At 38.7% G+C, this 18503-nt stretch overlaps 2 long non-coding RNA genes across 3 annotated transcripts in view; one reads left to right on the plus strand and one right to left on the minus strand.

The window, feature by feature from the left end:
• LINC02998 (long intergenic non-protein coding RNA 2998) overlaps nucleotides 1-18503 on the minus strand; it is an 84101-nt gene that overhangs the window by 18699 nt on the left and 46899 nt on the right. The window lies entirely within an intron of this gene.
• The window catches only part of LOC105378969 (uncharacterized), a 45510-nt gene continuing 40107 nt past the window's right edge, over nucleotides 13101-18503 (plus strand). Inside the window, exon 1 of the long non-coding RNA XR_948330.3 lies at nucleotides 13101-13283. This is a non-coding gene — a long non-coding RNA (uncharacterized LOC105378969). The remainder of the gene's footprint in view (nucleotides 13284-18503) is intronic.

Consider the following 18503-nt stretch of genomic DNA (forward strand, 5'->3'; position numbering starts at 1 on the left):
AGTTCATCTGGGGACATGTTGAGTATAATTTGTTTTGGGACATCCATATGGAGATATTCTGAGTCAACTCAGCCCCGGGGGAACTGATTTTGTCATCTGGCTCTGCTCCTTTCTGGAAAGCTCTCAAAAATACATGGATAGTTAGACCTGGTTCAAAGCAAAATCTTAGATGCCTATCTTAATCATCTTTCTCTTAAAAAAATCTGGGGATAAAAAGCATTTTATATGAATTCTATATCTTTAAAATTTTTTTATTTGATGCTATATTGCATTTGTTTACAGAAGATGCATGTTATGGATGAGTATAGGGTAACATGGGATACCTGAAATTTAAATTGAACGTAAAAGTGCATGTTGGATTATCTCCCAAAGGAAAGAAACTAAATTAGAGTTTGTATGTAAACTTTAGCCCTTGTCTCAAATGCATATTTTAAATCTCAAATCATCTCTCTTTAATTCCTTGTTTAAAAACATTAAAGTCAATAAAACAGTTCATGAAGCTCAGTTTCTTTCTTGTCAAATATTTGTCAAAATTAAGACTACTTTGGTATAACAAACTAAATAATCAAACTGATTCTTGACTGAATATTGAAAATATAATTCTAAATTGAATACAAGTAAACAAGCCTGAAATTTACTATGGGTGGCAGTAATCCATGTGTAGCCCCACATTTCCATTCATTTAGAAAATATCTTTGTGCTCAACTATCTATAATAATTATCTTTATTACTGTAATAAAGATAACCATCTAATTATCTAATTACCTTTCTAAGGGGATTTGGTTAATTTCAGGCTAAAACAGTTTAAATAAAATTATGGCGGCTTTAAAATATTTCCATATTTACACATTGAGGTACAAATAGTTACTCTTGCATTAATAGACAGTATAGTATCAATGAATAAAGATCAGGAAAGCACTTCGAAAACAAGGCAAGGTTTTGCAGACAAGATTTAGGATAGACAGGCAGAAATAGTTAACCATGCATATGATGTCTCACAAGCCTAGCTGGTGTCATAAACATTTACTTTGATAACATTTGCAGTAGGTGAGTCACATTTTTTAAATGATTGACTTTTCAGGGTCCCCTATAAATAGGAAAGTGTCCGATTCTTCTAAAAAGAATTTTCTCTGAAAATAAACTATGAAATAGTTTTTGGCTTTAGTTATTGCTGCCTTGATGATCAGTTACTCTAAATAAAATAGGATGGATTATCCTGCAGTAACAAACTAAATTCTCGGTAGCTTAAAACAGCAAAGTTCATTTCTCACTCAGGCCACATACCCACCGCGCTTCAGCAGGAGCCTCTGTTCCACGTAGGCACTCAGGGAGGTAGGCTGATGGGCCTCCACCAAATGAAACATTGCTGATCACAACGACAAGGGGAAAGGACCATGGCAAACTATCACTGGCAAACCCTTAAAGGCTTCCACCTGGAAGAGATACATATGACTTCCATTTAAATGTCATTGGTTAAAGTAAATCATATGGCTATGTGTCTAACATCAGGAAGGCTGGGAAGAATAATCCTACTAATGCCTAGAAGGTTATATTCCTGAAAATTTTCTCGTCAGGCAAATTTTTGGACCGCTCAATCTGTGTCAACATGACCAAAAGTACATTGATTCTAGCACTGTTTTCGTCTTCTAAATCCAGGAACTCCCAAATGCCAAGTTCAGTTCCCTCTAATTGCTTGATCTGGCAACTCACTTTTGAACCCCCAAACAAACTTTCAACAAAGGTTGGTGTGGCAGGCACTGGTACTTTTCACCAGTACAGTTGTTGTTATTCAGCACGTGACTGTATTTCTAATTCTTTTTTTTTTTTTTTTTTTTGAGATGGAGTCTTGCTCTGTTGCCAGGCTGGAGTGCAGTGGAGCGATCTCGGCTCACTGCAACCTCTACCTTCCGGGCTCAAGCAATTCTCCTGCCTTAGCCTCCTGGGTAACGGGGATTACAGGTGCCCACCACCACGCCCTGCTAATTTTGTGTATTTTTAGTAGAGAAGGGTCTGACCATGTTGGTCCTGTATTTCGAAGACAAAGACAGTGCTAGAATCAAAGTACATTCGCTCTTCTTGACACAGATTGAGCTGTCCTAAAATTTGCCTGACAAGAAAATTTTCAGGAATATAATCCTGATGGACGATGAGTGCGTGAATATCAGACAAGTCAGAATGAGGGAACATTTCTCTTCGGAAGGGTGATCTGCCTTCTGATCTCTCCTCACCAAAAAGGCTGCTCATTCTTGAACAGATCCAGCATTTTTGCTTTGGGAACGCCTCATATATTTGTAGCTTAGGGAAATACTTCCTGCCAAATGCCTTTAATTAAAAAGAAAAAAAAATCCTCCTTTCTTGGTATCATCTGTATTCAGTTGAGAGGAATAGTTTGGGAGAACATTAATCTAAACCATTCTAATTTTCTTATTTTCCAACTCATTACTTTTTATTTTGGATCAACTGACTTTTACCCTTCCATTTTCGCATTTTTTTCCCTTAAGTGTCTCACAATGTTGATTCTTTGGATTTTTGAAGAATGTAATAATTTGGCATTAAACACAGTGTCCCACATTGGATCCAACCACACACTGATTTCCCTGTCACTCTTATTTTTTATTTGTTAAGTGTTTTCTGAAGCTAGGTGGGATGTTTATTTTAAAAAGGCAATCTCCAGTATGGAGTAGCTTCTTCTGAATATTGAACAATCAAGAAATTTCTTTAAGCCATCCTATAATTAGAAAGCATCAGAGGTTGGAATGAATTTAAACTGAAGTTTTCATTGAGGACAGACAAGATGAAAACTCAAATTGACAAAGAGAAAAAGCTGGCTTTAGAGAAAAAGTTGGCCCCAAATCTTTATGGAGTGGCTCCATCCATCAATGGGCTCTGGAATTGCTGTGATTGCTGGATGTGTAGAGATTTTCCGGAGGACAGAAGTGAGAAAAGAAGGAACTAGCTAAGTCCTACTCACAGAGCTCCTCATTCTCCATTCCTAAAGAAAAATTATTTCAAAAGTTAGCATACCTTTTACCCAGTCAGCATGAGTACAAATAAAGGCCCATAGGCAAACTACCCATAGCTTGAGTTTTGTAAAGCAAATTAAAGGCTCATTTTTTAAAAAATTAATAAACTATTTTTGGAGCAGCGTTAGGTTCACAGTAAAATTGAGTGTAAAGTGCAGAGAGTTTGTACATCCCTGTCCCCACACATGCACAACCTCTCCCAATGTCAACATCACTCACCACAGTGGTACATTTTTTACACTGAAGAACCTACATTAATACATCATTACCACCCAAAGTCCGTAGTTTACATCAGGGTTCACTCTTGATGTTTTTGCATTCTATGGGTTTGGACAGGTATAAAATGATATGTATCCACCATTGTAGTATCCTATAGAATAATTTCACTGCCCAAAAAAACCTCTGTACTCTGCCTATTCATCCTTCCTTCCACCTAAAACACCTTGCAACCTCTGATCTTTCATCATCTCCATAGTAGGAATCATGCAGCATGAGCATTTTTAAATTGATTTCTTTCATTTAGAAATATGCATTTAAATTTCCTCTGTGTTTTTATGGCTTGATAGCTCATTTCTTCTTAGTGTTAAATTATATTATGTTATCTGGATGTATGTTAGTTTATTTATCCATTCATCTACTGAAGGGCATCTTGGTTGTTTCCAAGTTTTGGCAATTATAAAAAGTTACAATAGATATCCATGGTAGATTTTTGAGTGGACATAAATTTTCAACTCCTTTGGGTAAATATCAAGGAGCACAATTTATCAATCAAATGTAAGAATATGTTTAATTTTATAAGAAACTGCCAAGCTGTCTTCCAAATTGGCTATTCTATTTTGCATTCCCACCCACGTGAAGGAGAGTTCCTGTTGCTCCTCATTCTTTTCAGCATTTGGTATTGTCAGTGTTTTAGATTCGGGTCAATCTAATAGGTATGTAGTAATATCTCACTGTTGTTGTAATTTGCAATTCCCTAATGACATATGATGTTGAACATCTTTTCATGTGCTAACTTGCCATCTGTATATCTTCTTTGGAGAGGTGTCCATTCAGCTCTTTAGTCCATTTTTTAATTGGGTTGGCTGTTTTCTTATGCTTGAGTTTTAAGTGTTCCTTGTATATTTGGAATCATAATCCTTTATCAGATGTGTCTTTTGAAAATATTTTATCCCAGTTTGTGGCTTGACTTCTCATTCTCTTGACATTGTCTTTCACAGTGCAAAAATTTTTAACTTTAATAAAGTCCAGCTTATCAATTATTTATTTCATGGAATCATGCCTGTTATATCTAAAAAGGTATTGCCATACCAAGGTCATCTAGTTTATTCCCTACTTTTTATCTTTTAGGAGTTTTATATATAATTTTGTGTTTTATGTTTAGGTTTATGATTAATTTTGAGTTACTTTTTTGTAAAGGGTGTAAGGTTATGCCTAAATTCTTTTTTATTTTTGTTTTTCTGCACGTGAATGTTCAGTTGTTTTGCCACCGTTCTTGAAAAGACCATCTTTTCTTCATTGCTTTGTCTTTGTTCTTTTGTCACAGATCAGTTGGCTATATTTGTATTTATATTACTGAGCTCTCTATTCTGTTCCATTGACTATTTGTCTGTTCTTTTGCCAATACCACACTGTTTTAATTACTGTAGCTTTATTGTAAGCCTTGAAGTCATGCAGGGTCAGCCCTCCAACTTTGTTCTTCTCTTTCAGTTCTGAGTTGGCTATTTGAGTATTTTGCCTCTCTATATAAACTTTAGAATCAATTTTTTAGTATCCACAGAATAACTTGGTGGGATTTTGATTGAATTTGCTTTGAATCTACAGATCAAGTAAGGAAGAAATGACATCTTGGCAATATTGAATCTTTCTATCCATGAATATGGAACCTCTCTCTATCAGTTCTTTTAAAATTTCTTTCACCACAGTTTTGTAGTTTTCCACATATAGGTCTTATACATATTTTGTTAGATTTCTACCTAAGTATTTAATTTTGGGAGGTGTTCATATAAAAAGTAATGTGTTTTAAATTTCAAATTCCATTTGCTCATTGCTGGTATATAGAAAAACAATGGGCCTTGTATATTCCTCTTTCATCTAGCGTGATAATCACTTGTGATAATCACTTAGTTGTTTCAGGATTTTTTTTGTCAACTCTTTTGGATTTTCTAAATAGATGATCATGTCATCTGTGAAAAAAGAGTTTTATTTCTTCTATCCTAATCTGCATACCTTTTATGTCCATTTCTTGTTGTACTATATTAGTTAAGACTTTCAGTACAAATGTTGAAAAGTGGCGGCAAAAGGAGACATTCTGATCTTGCTCCTGATTTAGTGAGAATGCTTCTACTTTCTCCACTAAGTATGATGTTACCTGTAGGCTTTAAAAAAATAAATAAATAAAAATAAAAATAAAACAGGGTCTCACTCTGTCACCCAGGTTGGAATGCAGTGGCATGATCACAGCTCGCTGCAGCCTCAACCTCCTGGGCTCAATAAATCCTCCCCTCTCAGCCTCCTGAGTAGCTGGGACTACAGGTGCACACTACCATGCTCAGCTAATTTTTTTATTTTTTTGTAGAGACAGGGTTCACTATGTTGCTCAGGTGGTCTTGAACTCCTAAGCTCAACCAACCCTCTTGCCTTGGCCTCCCAAAGTTTTGAGATTACAGGACTGAGCTACCATGCCTGGCCACTGTAGGCTTCCTGTAAATATTATTAATCAATGGAGAAAGCTTTCCTCTACCTAGTTTGCTGAAGGTTTATTATTATTATTATTATTATTATTATACTTCAAGTTGTAGGATACATGTGCACAACGTGCAGGTTTGTTACATATGTATACATGTGCCATGTTGGTGTGCTGCACCCATTAACTCGTCATTTAGCATTAGGTATATCTCCTAATGCTATCCCTCCCCTCTCCCCCCACCCAACAACAGTCCCCAGTGTGTGATGTTCCCCTTCCTGTATCCATGTGTTCTCATTGTTCAATTCCCACCTATGAGTGAGAACACGCGGTGTTTGGTTTTTTGGTCCTTGCAATAGTTTGCTGAGAATGATGGTTTCCAGCTTCATCCATGTCCCTACAAAGGACATGAACTCATCATTTTTTATGGCTGCATAGTATTCCATGGTGTATATGTGCCACATTTTCTTCATCCAGTCTATCATTGTTAGACATTTGGGTTGGTTCCAAGTCCTTGCTATTGTGAATAATACCGCAATAAACATACGGGTGCATGTGTCTTTATAGCAGCATGATTTACAATCCTTTGGGTATATACCCAGTAATGGGATGGCTGGGTCAAATGGTATTTCTAGTTCTAGATCCCTGAGGAATTGCCACACCAACTTCCACAATGGTTGAACTAGTTTACAGTCTCACCAACAGTGTAAAAGTGTTCCTATTTCTCCACATCCTCTCCAGCACCTGTTGTTTCCTGACGTTTTAATGATCACCATTCTAACTGGTGTGAGATGGTATCTCATTGTGGTTTTGATTTGCATTTCTCTGATAGCCAGTGATGATGAGCATTTTTTCATGAGTTTTCTGGCTGCACAAATGTCTCCTTTTGAGAAGTGTGTGTTCATATCCTTCACCCACTTTTTGATGGGGTTGTTTGTTTTCTTCTTGTAAATTTGTTTGAGTTCATTGTAGATTCTGGATATTAGCCCTTTGTCAGATGAGTAGATTGCAAAAATTTTCTCCCATTCTGTAGGTTGCCTTTTCACTCTGATGGTGGTTTCTTTTGCTGTGCAGAAGCTCTTTAGTTTAATTAGATCCCATTTGTCAATTTTGGCTTTTGTTGCCATTGCTTTTGGTGTTTTAGACATGAAGTCCTTGCCCATGCCTATGTCCTGAATGGTATTGCCTAGGTTTTCTTCTAGGGTTTTTATGGTTTTAGGTCTAACATGTAAGTCTTTAATCCATCTTGAATTAATTTTTGTATAAGGTGTAAGGAAGGGATCCAGTTTCAGCTTTCTACATATGGCTAGCCAGTTTTCCCAGCACCATTTATTAAATAGGGAATCCTTTCCCCGTTGCTTGTTTTTCTCAGGTTTGTCAAAGATCAGATAGTTGTACATATGCGGCATTATTTCTGAGGGCTCTGTTCTGTTCCATTGGTCTATATCTCTGTTTTGGTACCAGTACTGTGCTGTTTTGGTTACTGTGGCCTTGTAGTATAGTTTGAAGTCAGGTAGCGTGATGTCTCCAGCTTTGTTCTTTTGGCTTAGGATTGATTTGGCAATGCGGGCTGTTTTTTGGTTCCATATGAACTTTAAAGTAGTTTTTTCCAATTCTGTGAAGAAAGTCATTGGTAGCTTGATGGGGATGGCATTGAATCTATAAATTACCTTGGGCAGTATGGCCATTTTCATGATATTGATTCTTCCTACCCACGAGCATGGAATGTTCTTCCATTTCTTTGTATCCTCTTTTATTTCATTGAGCAGTGGCTGAAGGTTTTTGTTATGAATGGGTGTTGCGTTGTTACAAATGCTTTTGCTGAATTTATTGATATCATAAAGTAATTTTTATGCTTTATCTTGTTGCTATGATGGATTATATTGATTTTCTAATGTTGAGCCAGTCTTTCATACCTTGAATAAATCCCACTTGGTTATGGTGTATAATTCTTTTTAAACATTGTGGGAACTGATATGATAATATTTTGTTGAGAAGTTTGCATCTGTATTTATGAGAGTTATTTGCCTGTAGTTTTCTTTTCTTGTAATGTCTTTGTTTGGTTTTAGGGTAATGGGTAATTAGGGTAATGCTGGCCTCATAGCATGCCAAGTGTTCCCTATATTTTTATCTTCTGAAAGAAATTGTAGAAAATTGGTATAATTGTTTCCTTAAATATTTGGTAGAATTCACCAGTGAACCCATCTTGGCCTAGTGCTTTCTCTTTCAAAAGCTTATTAATTGTTGGTTCCTTTTTTTTAATGGACGTAGGCCTATTTAGATTTCTATTTCTTCTTGTATGAGTTTTGGCAGATTGTATCTCTCAAGAAATTGATCCATCTTATCTAGGTTATCAAATTTGTGGACATAACGTTGTTCATAATATTCATTTATTATCCACTTAATATCCGTAGGATCTGCAGTAATGCTCTCTCTGTCAATTATGATATTAGTAATTTGTGTCTTCTCTCTTTTTTTCCTAGCCTGGATAGAGGCTTATTGATTTTTATCGATCTTTTCAAAGAACCACATTTTAGTTTTGTTAATTTTCTCCATTGACTGCCTATTTTCAATTTCATTGATTTCTGCTCTAATTTTTATTATTTCTTTCCTTCTGCTGAGTTTATATTTAATTTACTCTTCTTTTTCTAGTTTCCTAAAACGGAAGCTTAGATTACTGATTTTAAATCTTTTTTTCTAATATATTCATTCAACCTTGTAAATTTCCCTCTTAAGTATTGCTTTTGCTGCATCTTACTAATTTTGAAAAGTTGTATTTTTATTTTCATTTGGTTCAAATTATTTTTAACTTTCTCGTTTCTACTTTGACCCACATGTTATTTAGAAATGTGTCGTTGGTCAGGCACAGTGGCTCATGCCTATAATCCCAGCACTTTGGGAGGCTGATGTGGGTAGATCACTTGAGGTCACAAGTTTTCCAGCTATCTTTCTGTTATTAATTTCTAGTTTAATTTCAATGTGGTCTTAGAGTAGCCACTGTGTGATTTCTATTATTTTAAATTTGTTAAGATGTGTTTTGTGGCCCAGAATGTAGAGTCTGTTTTGGTGAATGTTTCATGTGAGCTTGAGAAGAATATGTAATCTGCTGTTATTGGATGAAGGAGTTTATAGATGTCAGTAATATCCAGTTGATTGGCAGTGCTGTTGAGTTCAACTATGTCCTTGCTGATTTTTTGCCTGCTGGATCTGTCCATTTCTAATAAAAGAGTGTTAAAATCTCCAATTATGGTAGTGGATAATCTATTTCTCCCTGCAGTTCTATCAGTTTTTGTCTCATATTTTGATGCTCTGTTGTTAGAAGCTTACACAGTACAGATTGTTATGTTTTCTTGGAGTACTGATCCTTTACTATTGTATAATGTGCCTCTTAAACCCTAATAACTCTCCTTCCATTGGAGTCTGTTCTATATGATACTAACATAGCCGCTCTCATTTTTTTATGATCGGTGTTAGCATGGTATATCTTTTTCCATCCTTTCACTTTTAATCTATACCTGTCATGGTTTTTATAGTTAAAGTGGATTTCTTATAGACAACATATAGTTGAATCTTAATTTTTTTATTCTTGTGTTTTCACCCACTCTGACAGCCTCTGTCTTTTAATTGGTGTATTTAGACCATTGACATTTAAAATGATTATTGATATAGTTAGATTAATATCTACCATATTTGTTACTATTTTCTATTTGTTGCCCTTGTTCTTTGTTCATATTCTTGTCTTCCACTCTTTTTCTGCCTTTTGTGGCCTTAACTGAGCATTTTATATTATTCCATTTTCTCTCCTTTCTTAGTATATCAATTATATTTAACATTTTTTAGTGGTTGCTCTAGAGTTTGAAGTTTACAACTAATTTAAGTCCACTTTTAAATAACACTATACCAATTCACAGGTAGTACTAATATCTTATAAGAAAATACTCCTAATTCATTGCTCCCATCCCTTGTATCATTGCTGTAATTCATTTCACTTGTGGATATATGCATACCTATTGAATACATTATTGCTATTATTTTGAGCAAATTGTTATCTGTTAGATCAATTAAGAATAAGAAAAACAAAAGTTTTCATTTTGCCTTTACTTATTCATTTTTTGATGCTCTTTCTTTCTTTGGAAACCTGAGTTTCTGACATTTATTATTTTCATTTTTTCTCAAGAGCTTCTCTTAACTTTTCTTGCAAAACATATCTGCTAGCAACAAATTCCCTCTGGTGTTTTTTTTTTTTTTTTTTTCTGAGAGAGGTTTTATTTCTCCCTTACTTTTGAAGGATAATTTTACAGGATACAGAAATCTAAGCTGGTCATTTTTCCCAGCACTTTAAATATTTTATTCTACTCTCCTCTTGCTTGCATGGTTTCTGAGGAGAAGTCATATGTAATTCTTATCTTTGCTACTCCATAGGTAAGATGTATTTTCCCGCTGGCTTCTTTCAAGACTTTTTTCTTTATCTTTGATTTTCTGAAGTTGAATATGATATGCCTAGATGTAGTTGGGTTGTTTGTTTGTTTGTTTGTATGTTTTATTTTTCATGCCTCATGTTTTCTGAGCTTTCTGGATCTGTGGTTTGGTGTTTGACTAATTTGGGTGAATCTCTCAGTCACCATTGCTTCAAATATTTTTTCTGTTCCCCTTTCTCATTCTTCTCCATCTGGTATTTCTTTAATTTGTTTTAGTTATTTATATACACATAAATAACTCCTTTTGTAGTTGTCCCCACAGTTCTTGGATATTTTGTTAGGTCCCCCCCACCTTTCTTTTAATCTCTGCTTTTCAGTTTTAGAAATTTCTATTGTCATATCCTCAAGCTCAGAGATTTTTTTCCTTAGCTGTGTTCAGTCCACTAATGAGTCCATCAAAGGCATTCTTCATTCCTTGTACAATGTTTTTTCTCTAGAACTTCTTTTTGTTTTTTCTTAGAATTTCCATCCCTTTGCATACATCATCCACTTGTCCTTGCATGTTGTCTAGTTTTTCCATGAAAGCTCTTAGCATATTAATCATAGGTTTAAAACATTTTGAATCTGATAATTTCAACATTCTTGCCATATCTGACTCTCATTCCATTGCTTATTTAGTCTTTTCAAGCTGTGTATTTTGGCTTTTAGAATGCCTTGTAATTTTTTCTTGAAAAAGGGACACAATGTGCTGGGTAAAGGAAACTATGGTAGGTAGGTCTTTAGTAATGTAGTGGTAAGGTGTGAGGGGAGGGGAAGTATTTTACAGTGCTATGATTAGGTCTCAGTCTTTTGGTGAGTCTGTGACCCTGGACTGTGAACTTCGCCAGTGCTTCTTAGTTTTTCTCTCTTTTTTTTTTCCACTCTTCTAGTGGGGAAGAGTGGGTTAGAGTTGAGTGATTATTTTCCCCCATATGAAAGGCTAGAAAGAACTGAAGTTGGGTATTTTTCTTCCACACGGAAGGCTAGAGTGAGCTGGAGTTGGGTAATTACCTCACCACATGTGAAAGGCTAGAAAGAACTGTAGTTGTATGTTTCCCTTTCCCCAGGTGGAAGGCTAGAGCTGGCTAGAGTTGACTTATTTTCCTTCTTCCAGTAGGTTTAGGCTCTCACAAAACCACAGCAAGTGAGGCTCTAGTACAATAGCTTCTCCCGGGCACAGGCCTTGTTAAGAAGAACAAAATGCTCTGGTATATGTTAAAATGGTTCCCTTTCCCCTTCCCTGACCAGAAGCCCAAGAGGATTTTTCTCTAATATTTACAGTGATAACTTGGTAGAGTTCCTGGAGGTAAAACTCATGAAAGTGTGCCACCTCCCTCACGACTGGGTCCTCCTGGAGTTTTAATCTTCAGACTTGTTCACATCTAGTCTACAGCAATTTATCAATTACAGTTCAGGTTTCTCTACCCAGAACTGATTCCTATGGAGGTTTCTACTTCTGGATTTCTGCCACAATAAGTTGTGATTCTCTGTAGATGTTTGTCTGTCTCTTTAATTTTGGGGACAGTGGTTTTCCTTGTGACCTCACCTCTTTGGCTGCTAATTTTTCAGCTAGTTCAGCTTTTTGCTTATTGTTAGGATGGAGTGATGAATTCTAAGTTCCTTATGTGCTGGACTGAAAACCTGAAGCCCCACTCACTGGTTTTTAAACTTTAAAATATTGAATGAACATCCCACATTATAAAATGAGTCAGAATTCAACTATAGTGGTGTTAAAAAGAAACACACACACACACACACACACACACACACACACACAATTGTTTTGTGATCTCTAAATCAAGCTTTCTCTAGGCTGAGGTGGATGTTTTCTCTCTTCCATGTTGTGATGCTCTCTGTTATGGGTCTTTACATGGGAAAGGCAAGAGTTAGAGTCTTGGGATAGATTTAAGAGTTGGTGAGGCTCCTTCTTCCCCTCAAACTTCCCACCTTCCACAGCCTGGAATCACTCAGCTGGGAATGGACTTTGGCTCCTTCTCCTTTAGGAGTTCCTGATGAGGCTTCTAGAACCAGTGACTACCATCTGAACCACTGAACCCAGGGCAGGAGGAGCTTGCTCTTCCATCTGTCTTCTGGTCCTTTAGGGCTCCCTGCAGAGAGGCTCTGGGGCAATTGCTCACAACTGGCTGGTGATATGAATGTGGGTAGATTCAGTAGGGGCATGAGGATGGACTCCCTGTTCCTAAATATTTTCCCAAGTTTTTCTGAAATCCATCAGTAGTTACTGCCTTCTCCTTATCTGTTGTTATTGTGGGTGATGGTGATTTTTAAAGAATGCCTTTTAAATAAGATAAAGCCTTTCTTTTCCCATTATTTTTAAAAATTCTTTTTCAAAGCTGACCCTTAGAGAGCCCACATTCTCAAATTCTGTCTTCACTGCTCTCTCATTTCCCTTCATCCCTGTTCCTCTGTTTGAATACACACAACACACACACACACATCCCAAGAGGGGACTCCACTAAAAATAACTCACCCATTTCCCTAGGAGGGAACTAGGCACCTGCAGGTCAACAAGGCCTGAGAAGCCAGAGTTCTTCAGAGTGTGGGCTCCACCTTAATGTGAATCTGCCTCTTTAATTAATATTTCCATGAACTTGGCTGCTAATGTATCCTCTTTTTCTTCAGTTTCTTCATCTGTAAAATGGGGGTGATGATCATTGTACCTACATGTAAAGTACATTACAAAAGGATGCCACTCCTTTATTCTTTGCTAATAATAGCCACATTTATTGAGGCCTTCTAGGCCAGATGCTGTTCCAAGTGCAAGTTTTGGTAGGCAGAATAGGAGATTGGTGGTGGGGGTGGGAGTACTATGAGCGTGACGTGGGAGAAAGAGAAAGAGCATCAAAAAAGGAACTAAGAGTTGCAGAATAGCAAAACTGAAGTTCAGTTCAAAACAAATTTCATCTCTTCTTTTTCCAGTTTTCCTAGACTTAGTCCTGATCAGTTACTCCAGAAAACCTACAGGAATCTGGCTGAGGGAGACAGTGCGGACTAATATTTCATTTCTCCCCACTCCTCCCTCTGAGGAATCCAGGACTTCATTGTGGACCCCTGTATTAGTCCATTTTCACACTGCTACAGAGAGCTACCTGAGACTGGGTAAGTTACAAATGAAAGAGGTTTAATTGATTCATAGTTCTGCATGGCTGGGGAGGCCTCAGGAAACTTAAAATGGTGACGGGAAGCAAGGCACGTCTTACATGGTGGCCATAGAGAGAAAGAGCAAGGTGGGAAGTGCCACACTTTAAAACCATCAGATCTTGTGAGAACTCACTCACTATCATGAGAACAGCATGGGGGAAACTGCCCGCATGATCCAATCACCTCCCACCAGGCCCCTCCCTAACAGGAGATGAGATTTGGGTGGAGGCACAGAACCAAACTATATCAACCTTTTCCTACCTCCCTACTCCAAGCACCATCTCCCTTGGAGGGGCTCTGTAAACTGGCCCTTACTTGAATGAAAGAAGCCGGCTCAGATTCAAAGTTTTGAGTGTTTTTTTGCCATGTCTCAGCTGAGTCACCCAGGTGAGCCCAGGCATTCTGGCCTAGGATGTGGAGGATGGTGTTTTAACTGCAGCTTGAGGTTTTACAAGTCCAGAAAATCCCAGAGGACAAGACTACAATAGCAGCTGAGGGCAGGCTACATGAATAGCAACCCTACTTGATATGTGTTCAGGGCTTCCCAACCAACTGGTGAGAAACACAGGGACACATATTGCCTGCTTTACAGAGAAGTTCAGTGATCTTCTCAAGGTCAAACACTTGGGAGAAACCGGTGGGACTTTCTGATGCACATTTCCGTGTTTTCTGTTGCTTTTATAATGAGTTGTTGACTACTTCCTGCTATTTAAACTGCTATACTTCGTTTTTCAGCCCGGATCAGATTACAATTGTATATAAAAAAAGAAGAATATGATCTCAAAGTAGAGAGGGATTTTTTCCATAAGTCACAAAAGCAGCACCTGCAAAGCAAAAGATTACTTATAGTGTTTTTGTTGTTGTAAGTTTTAAAATTTAATGTAATCTGAGTGAAAAACCAGCCACTGACTGGGGGAAGATAACTGATCTTCATGTAATCATCAAAGGAAAAGTATCCAACACATAAAAACAATTTCTACAAATCAGTAGGATAAAAAGTCAAAATATTCAATAGAAAAATGGGCAATGGATATAAACCAGCAACACACACACACACACACACACACGTGCACACAGAAACCAGAATGTGAAATCAACTAAGAGTTGGAAAATGCAAATTAAAACAGCCATGAGCTCCCATTTCCCCACGATATTTCCAATACTAGGGGATGTTAGACTTTTTCACTTTTGTCAATCTAATGAGTGTGAAATGATAACTCTTACACAATGTGGGAGGTGATCCAAATTGGTGCAATCAATTTGGAGAAGAATTTGACAACACAGAAAGATAAAGATGTGCCTACTCTTAGACCCAGAAATTTCATTCTATTTATCTACCCCTCAAAGACTCCCATACACATATAAAGACACATTTATGAGAAAGTTCATTTGTGGTATATTCTTAATTGTAAAAAATTGAAAATAAATGTACATCAACAGAAAAATAAATAAATAAATGGCAGCATAGTCACAATGGACACATCTACAGTAGTTACAATTGATAAAGAGATGCATGTGTCTACAGATATAAATCTCAAAACATAAGGTTGAATGAGAAAAGCAAGCTCCTCTGTGCCCCTTTCAGCTCTAACTCTCTGTGGATCTTATCCTTGTAGGTGGGGAGGAAAACTAATGATTCTGTGCATCCCTCAATCAGTGAGGGTCCTCCCTGACAGATAGAACTAAGCAAAGGCCCCCAAGCATCCCATGCCCAGTGCTGATGGTTGTGCTCCTCAGCTGCGGTACTAGAAGCTGCTCCCCCGGAAGCCCAGAGCAGATTCCAGGGCCCTTCCCCTTGCTCTTCTTTCCACGTATCAATGTGAGGCAAAGGTATCAGTTCCCCTGGGGCAGGAAGAAGCCCCCAGCAGGCAAGGAGCTGGCACTGTGCTCAAGGTCTGAGCTCAGAAAACAGACAGGACCTGGGCCCTGCGCTAGGTGGAGAGTCTGAGGCTGGGTGGTTGTGCTGGGAGCCAGAGCACTTTGGGAGAAGCTGCCAAAATTGCTCAGACAAGCACTTGGGGGAATTTCAGTTGTCCCCAAAGTACCTTTTAATTTGAAAACAATCAGGAGGGAGGTCAGAGGATTTTTCATCATTTGGCAGCGAGTGGTCTTGGAGAGCCTGGGCTGTGTTGCTTCAATTAGGTGTGAGAAGTGGGGGCTGGGGCCTGCCAGCTGGGCAGGAGCCAAGCAGCTCATCAGTCCTGGTCTAATCAACATCAGGGGCTCCAGCGCCAAGCACACAAAGACCAATGGTACCATTCATCACACGGAACTCTCCAAACACTGAAGGATGCTGGGGGTTCTCTAGCAAATCTATGCACTGAGGGCCCAAGATGATACCACTCAGAGGTTTCAGAAAGTAGAGATGCTGGTGACATAGTTACAGTAAATGCAGGTGGTTGAATGGCGCTGGGCAACTTCTGTCTTCATTCCAGGCAGAAGGAGGAGGGGTAAGGAGAGCTTTAGACAGAAACTCAAGACAGATACAGAACTAGCTGGCTGCTTCCTGGAGGGGGCTCTGAGGTGTGGGCTCTGGGTCAGGCCAGGATCTCAGCTGGGTGATCACGGCCAACTGTTTGACCTCTCAGCCCGTGTCCCTGGTTGTAAAAATGGGGTCGTGATAGTGCCAAATTCGTAGAGTGGTGGTGAAAAGAAAGAAGACAATCAATTCAAACACTGGGTATGGTGCCTGAAGCATAGAAAGTGTTCAGAAAGACAGAGAGGATTACATAAATAATAAACTAACAAACTGCTTTCCCAAGGTCTAGGAGGTGTGATTTAAAGACTGTCAATTGCATGACACTTAGCATTAAGCCAGAGAAAGGCTTTTGTGAAAATGTCAGATGTTATTAGCAGCCTGTTTTATAAATGAGGAAATTGAGGCCTCACAAAGCAGTGGCTTGTATGAGTTCTGGCAACTGGTTTGTTAAGAGGTCGGGATAAAAATCCAGGAATTTTGACTCTAAATCCTGTCTTGTCATCATAGCACACAGCAAGCCATTTTAAAAATTATGTCAATTATATCTTCTAAAGCAAAAGTATGCAAGGTATAAATGTCAGAAGAATAGAAAAAAAAATCTCTAAATGTCCATGTTCCCTAATGTGGAATTTCCCTTAATGGTGAGATGCTCCAGGTTGTATCAGCATGGCCTGCGCTGCACTGTGGACCTGCCTGTCAGGAAGAAATCCTCTTCTTCTCCCAGAAATCCTGCACCTGTAGCAACAGGTGCCATTTGCAGAGGGTGCCACTGCCTTCACAATCCCTTTCTAGGCACTATTTCCTTTATTTTTGCCCTGATATGGCAACCCAAAAGTCATGCATTTTTATTATTTGTTTTTCTTAAAAATCACTTCCATGGAAATACAGAAGTGTTTTTTTGTTTGGGTTTGTTTGTTTTAACATAGAGTCCTGAAGGGAAACACTCAGAAAGTTGCAGTGCCTAGAAAGGTACTTCAGACACAGGCCGTTAACAAAATTCACACTAAGAAGGGTTGACCCATCAAGGCTGAGGACCACTGTAGTGTTTTTATACCTGATAAGGCATGACTTGCCTTCAACGAATGCTGCATTTTTCCTCATTGCTGTATCAGCGTACTCATTTTCCTGTATTCATTTATTTACATACCCACCCTCACTTGAGAGCAGGGTCAATGACCTTCTACTCTGTGCCAGGCAGGGCCCAGCACTGATGAGACTGCAAATCTAAATGCATTGGAAGAGAAAGAGTGTTCCCATGTATTCTGGATCCTACTGTTTGGGACGTCATGCAGATTTTACCAAATAATATCTTACTTTCCATCATCTTTATTACTCAAAAGTTGTGTACTGAGTCCCTGGCCCTTGGAGATCTGGATCAAATTAACTCAATCCTGCTCTCCCAAATCCACCACTGGCAGGAGCCCATGAGTCCCACGAGTCCTCACTTTCTCATGAGGTCCTCCTCCTAAGCTTGTCTCAACTATGTGCTATACCATGAGGACCATACCACAGAACACCTGCCCCCTTTCTGAGTTCCACGGAAAAGAAAATATGAACAGAGGAGTCTTTATGGGTGATTCTGGAGCAGAAATGGAGTCTCATGACACAGCAAGGCCAGGAACTTCATGTGGAAGAGCAGCCTTACCATGCCTCTCGCACAGCCTCAGCCGCCCCCATGACTGCATGCTTCACCTGCCAGTACCCGCACCTGGTCCTCTCCTCTGTCCACTTGGCTCCATGCTCTGTCTTCCTCCTCCTTGCATTTCTTCTCTTCTTGTCTATCTTCTCCCTTTATCCTCAGAGCAAAATGTGAATTTCTCTCATATCCAGTGCAAGCCAGTTTCACATTATACTTTGAAGTTTTGTGGCCAAGAAACACTCAAGCCCTCGGGGTCCCAAAACATTTCTAAGCAACAGCCATTAAGATAATAAAACTTCGTTTCATCTCATTATGTAAGGATCCCATAAAGTTTATAAATATTGCCAGATAGAAAGTCTTCTCAACTCTGCTTTCTATCAAGGAAAGTGAATGTTTTTGTATTCTGGGACAAAATCAAAACAGAAGCTAATTTTCAACTCATCAGCCTGGTTCTTATGCATCATGTGAGTATCAGTGCCAACCCTGCCCAAGCTATAAACTCCTGAATCAGAATGTCCCTCAGACATTCTTCCAGGGCTGCAGAACTTCCTTTTTACCTTCACTCTCTCCTCTCGTTTTTCCTTCTCTCATGAAAGAAAAATCAATCACTGATGAAATAAGCAAATGGGCAAAGTGGCATGCCCCTCCAACTCTGTGAGTCCCCTCACCCTCAAGCCCCTCCTTTTCTTGCCCTCCAGGCAGAAGTGTGGAGCTGCTGCTGCCAGCAGGCCTAGGCCAGAGGAGCACAAAAGGGCAGGGTTCTCAGCTTTAGAGCTGGGAAAGGACGGCCCAATAAGCGTTGGTGTGGGGAGAGGAAGAAGTATCTACTAACTACAAGACCCACTGACAACTGCTTGGCTCACAGCCTCTGAGGCCTGAATTTGAGGAAACAATTTTGCTTCGGATCTGCCAAGAAAGTGCATTAAGCACTTAGATCATTTACAATCCTAGTAGACTTTCCCCCTCGCATTAATTTCAGGGAATCCATATGCATATGTCTTTCTTTGACTGGCAGCCTGGGCAAGTCTCTTTCTCCAGGGCTCTGGGTTCCAAGTAACCA

Source organism: Homo sapiens, chromosome 5, assembly GCF_000001405.40.
Source record: "Homo sapiens chromosome 5, GRCh38.p14 Primary Assembly".
Lineage (NCBI taxonomy): Eukaryota > Metazoa > Chordata > Mammalia > Primates > Hominidae > Homo > Homo sapiens.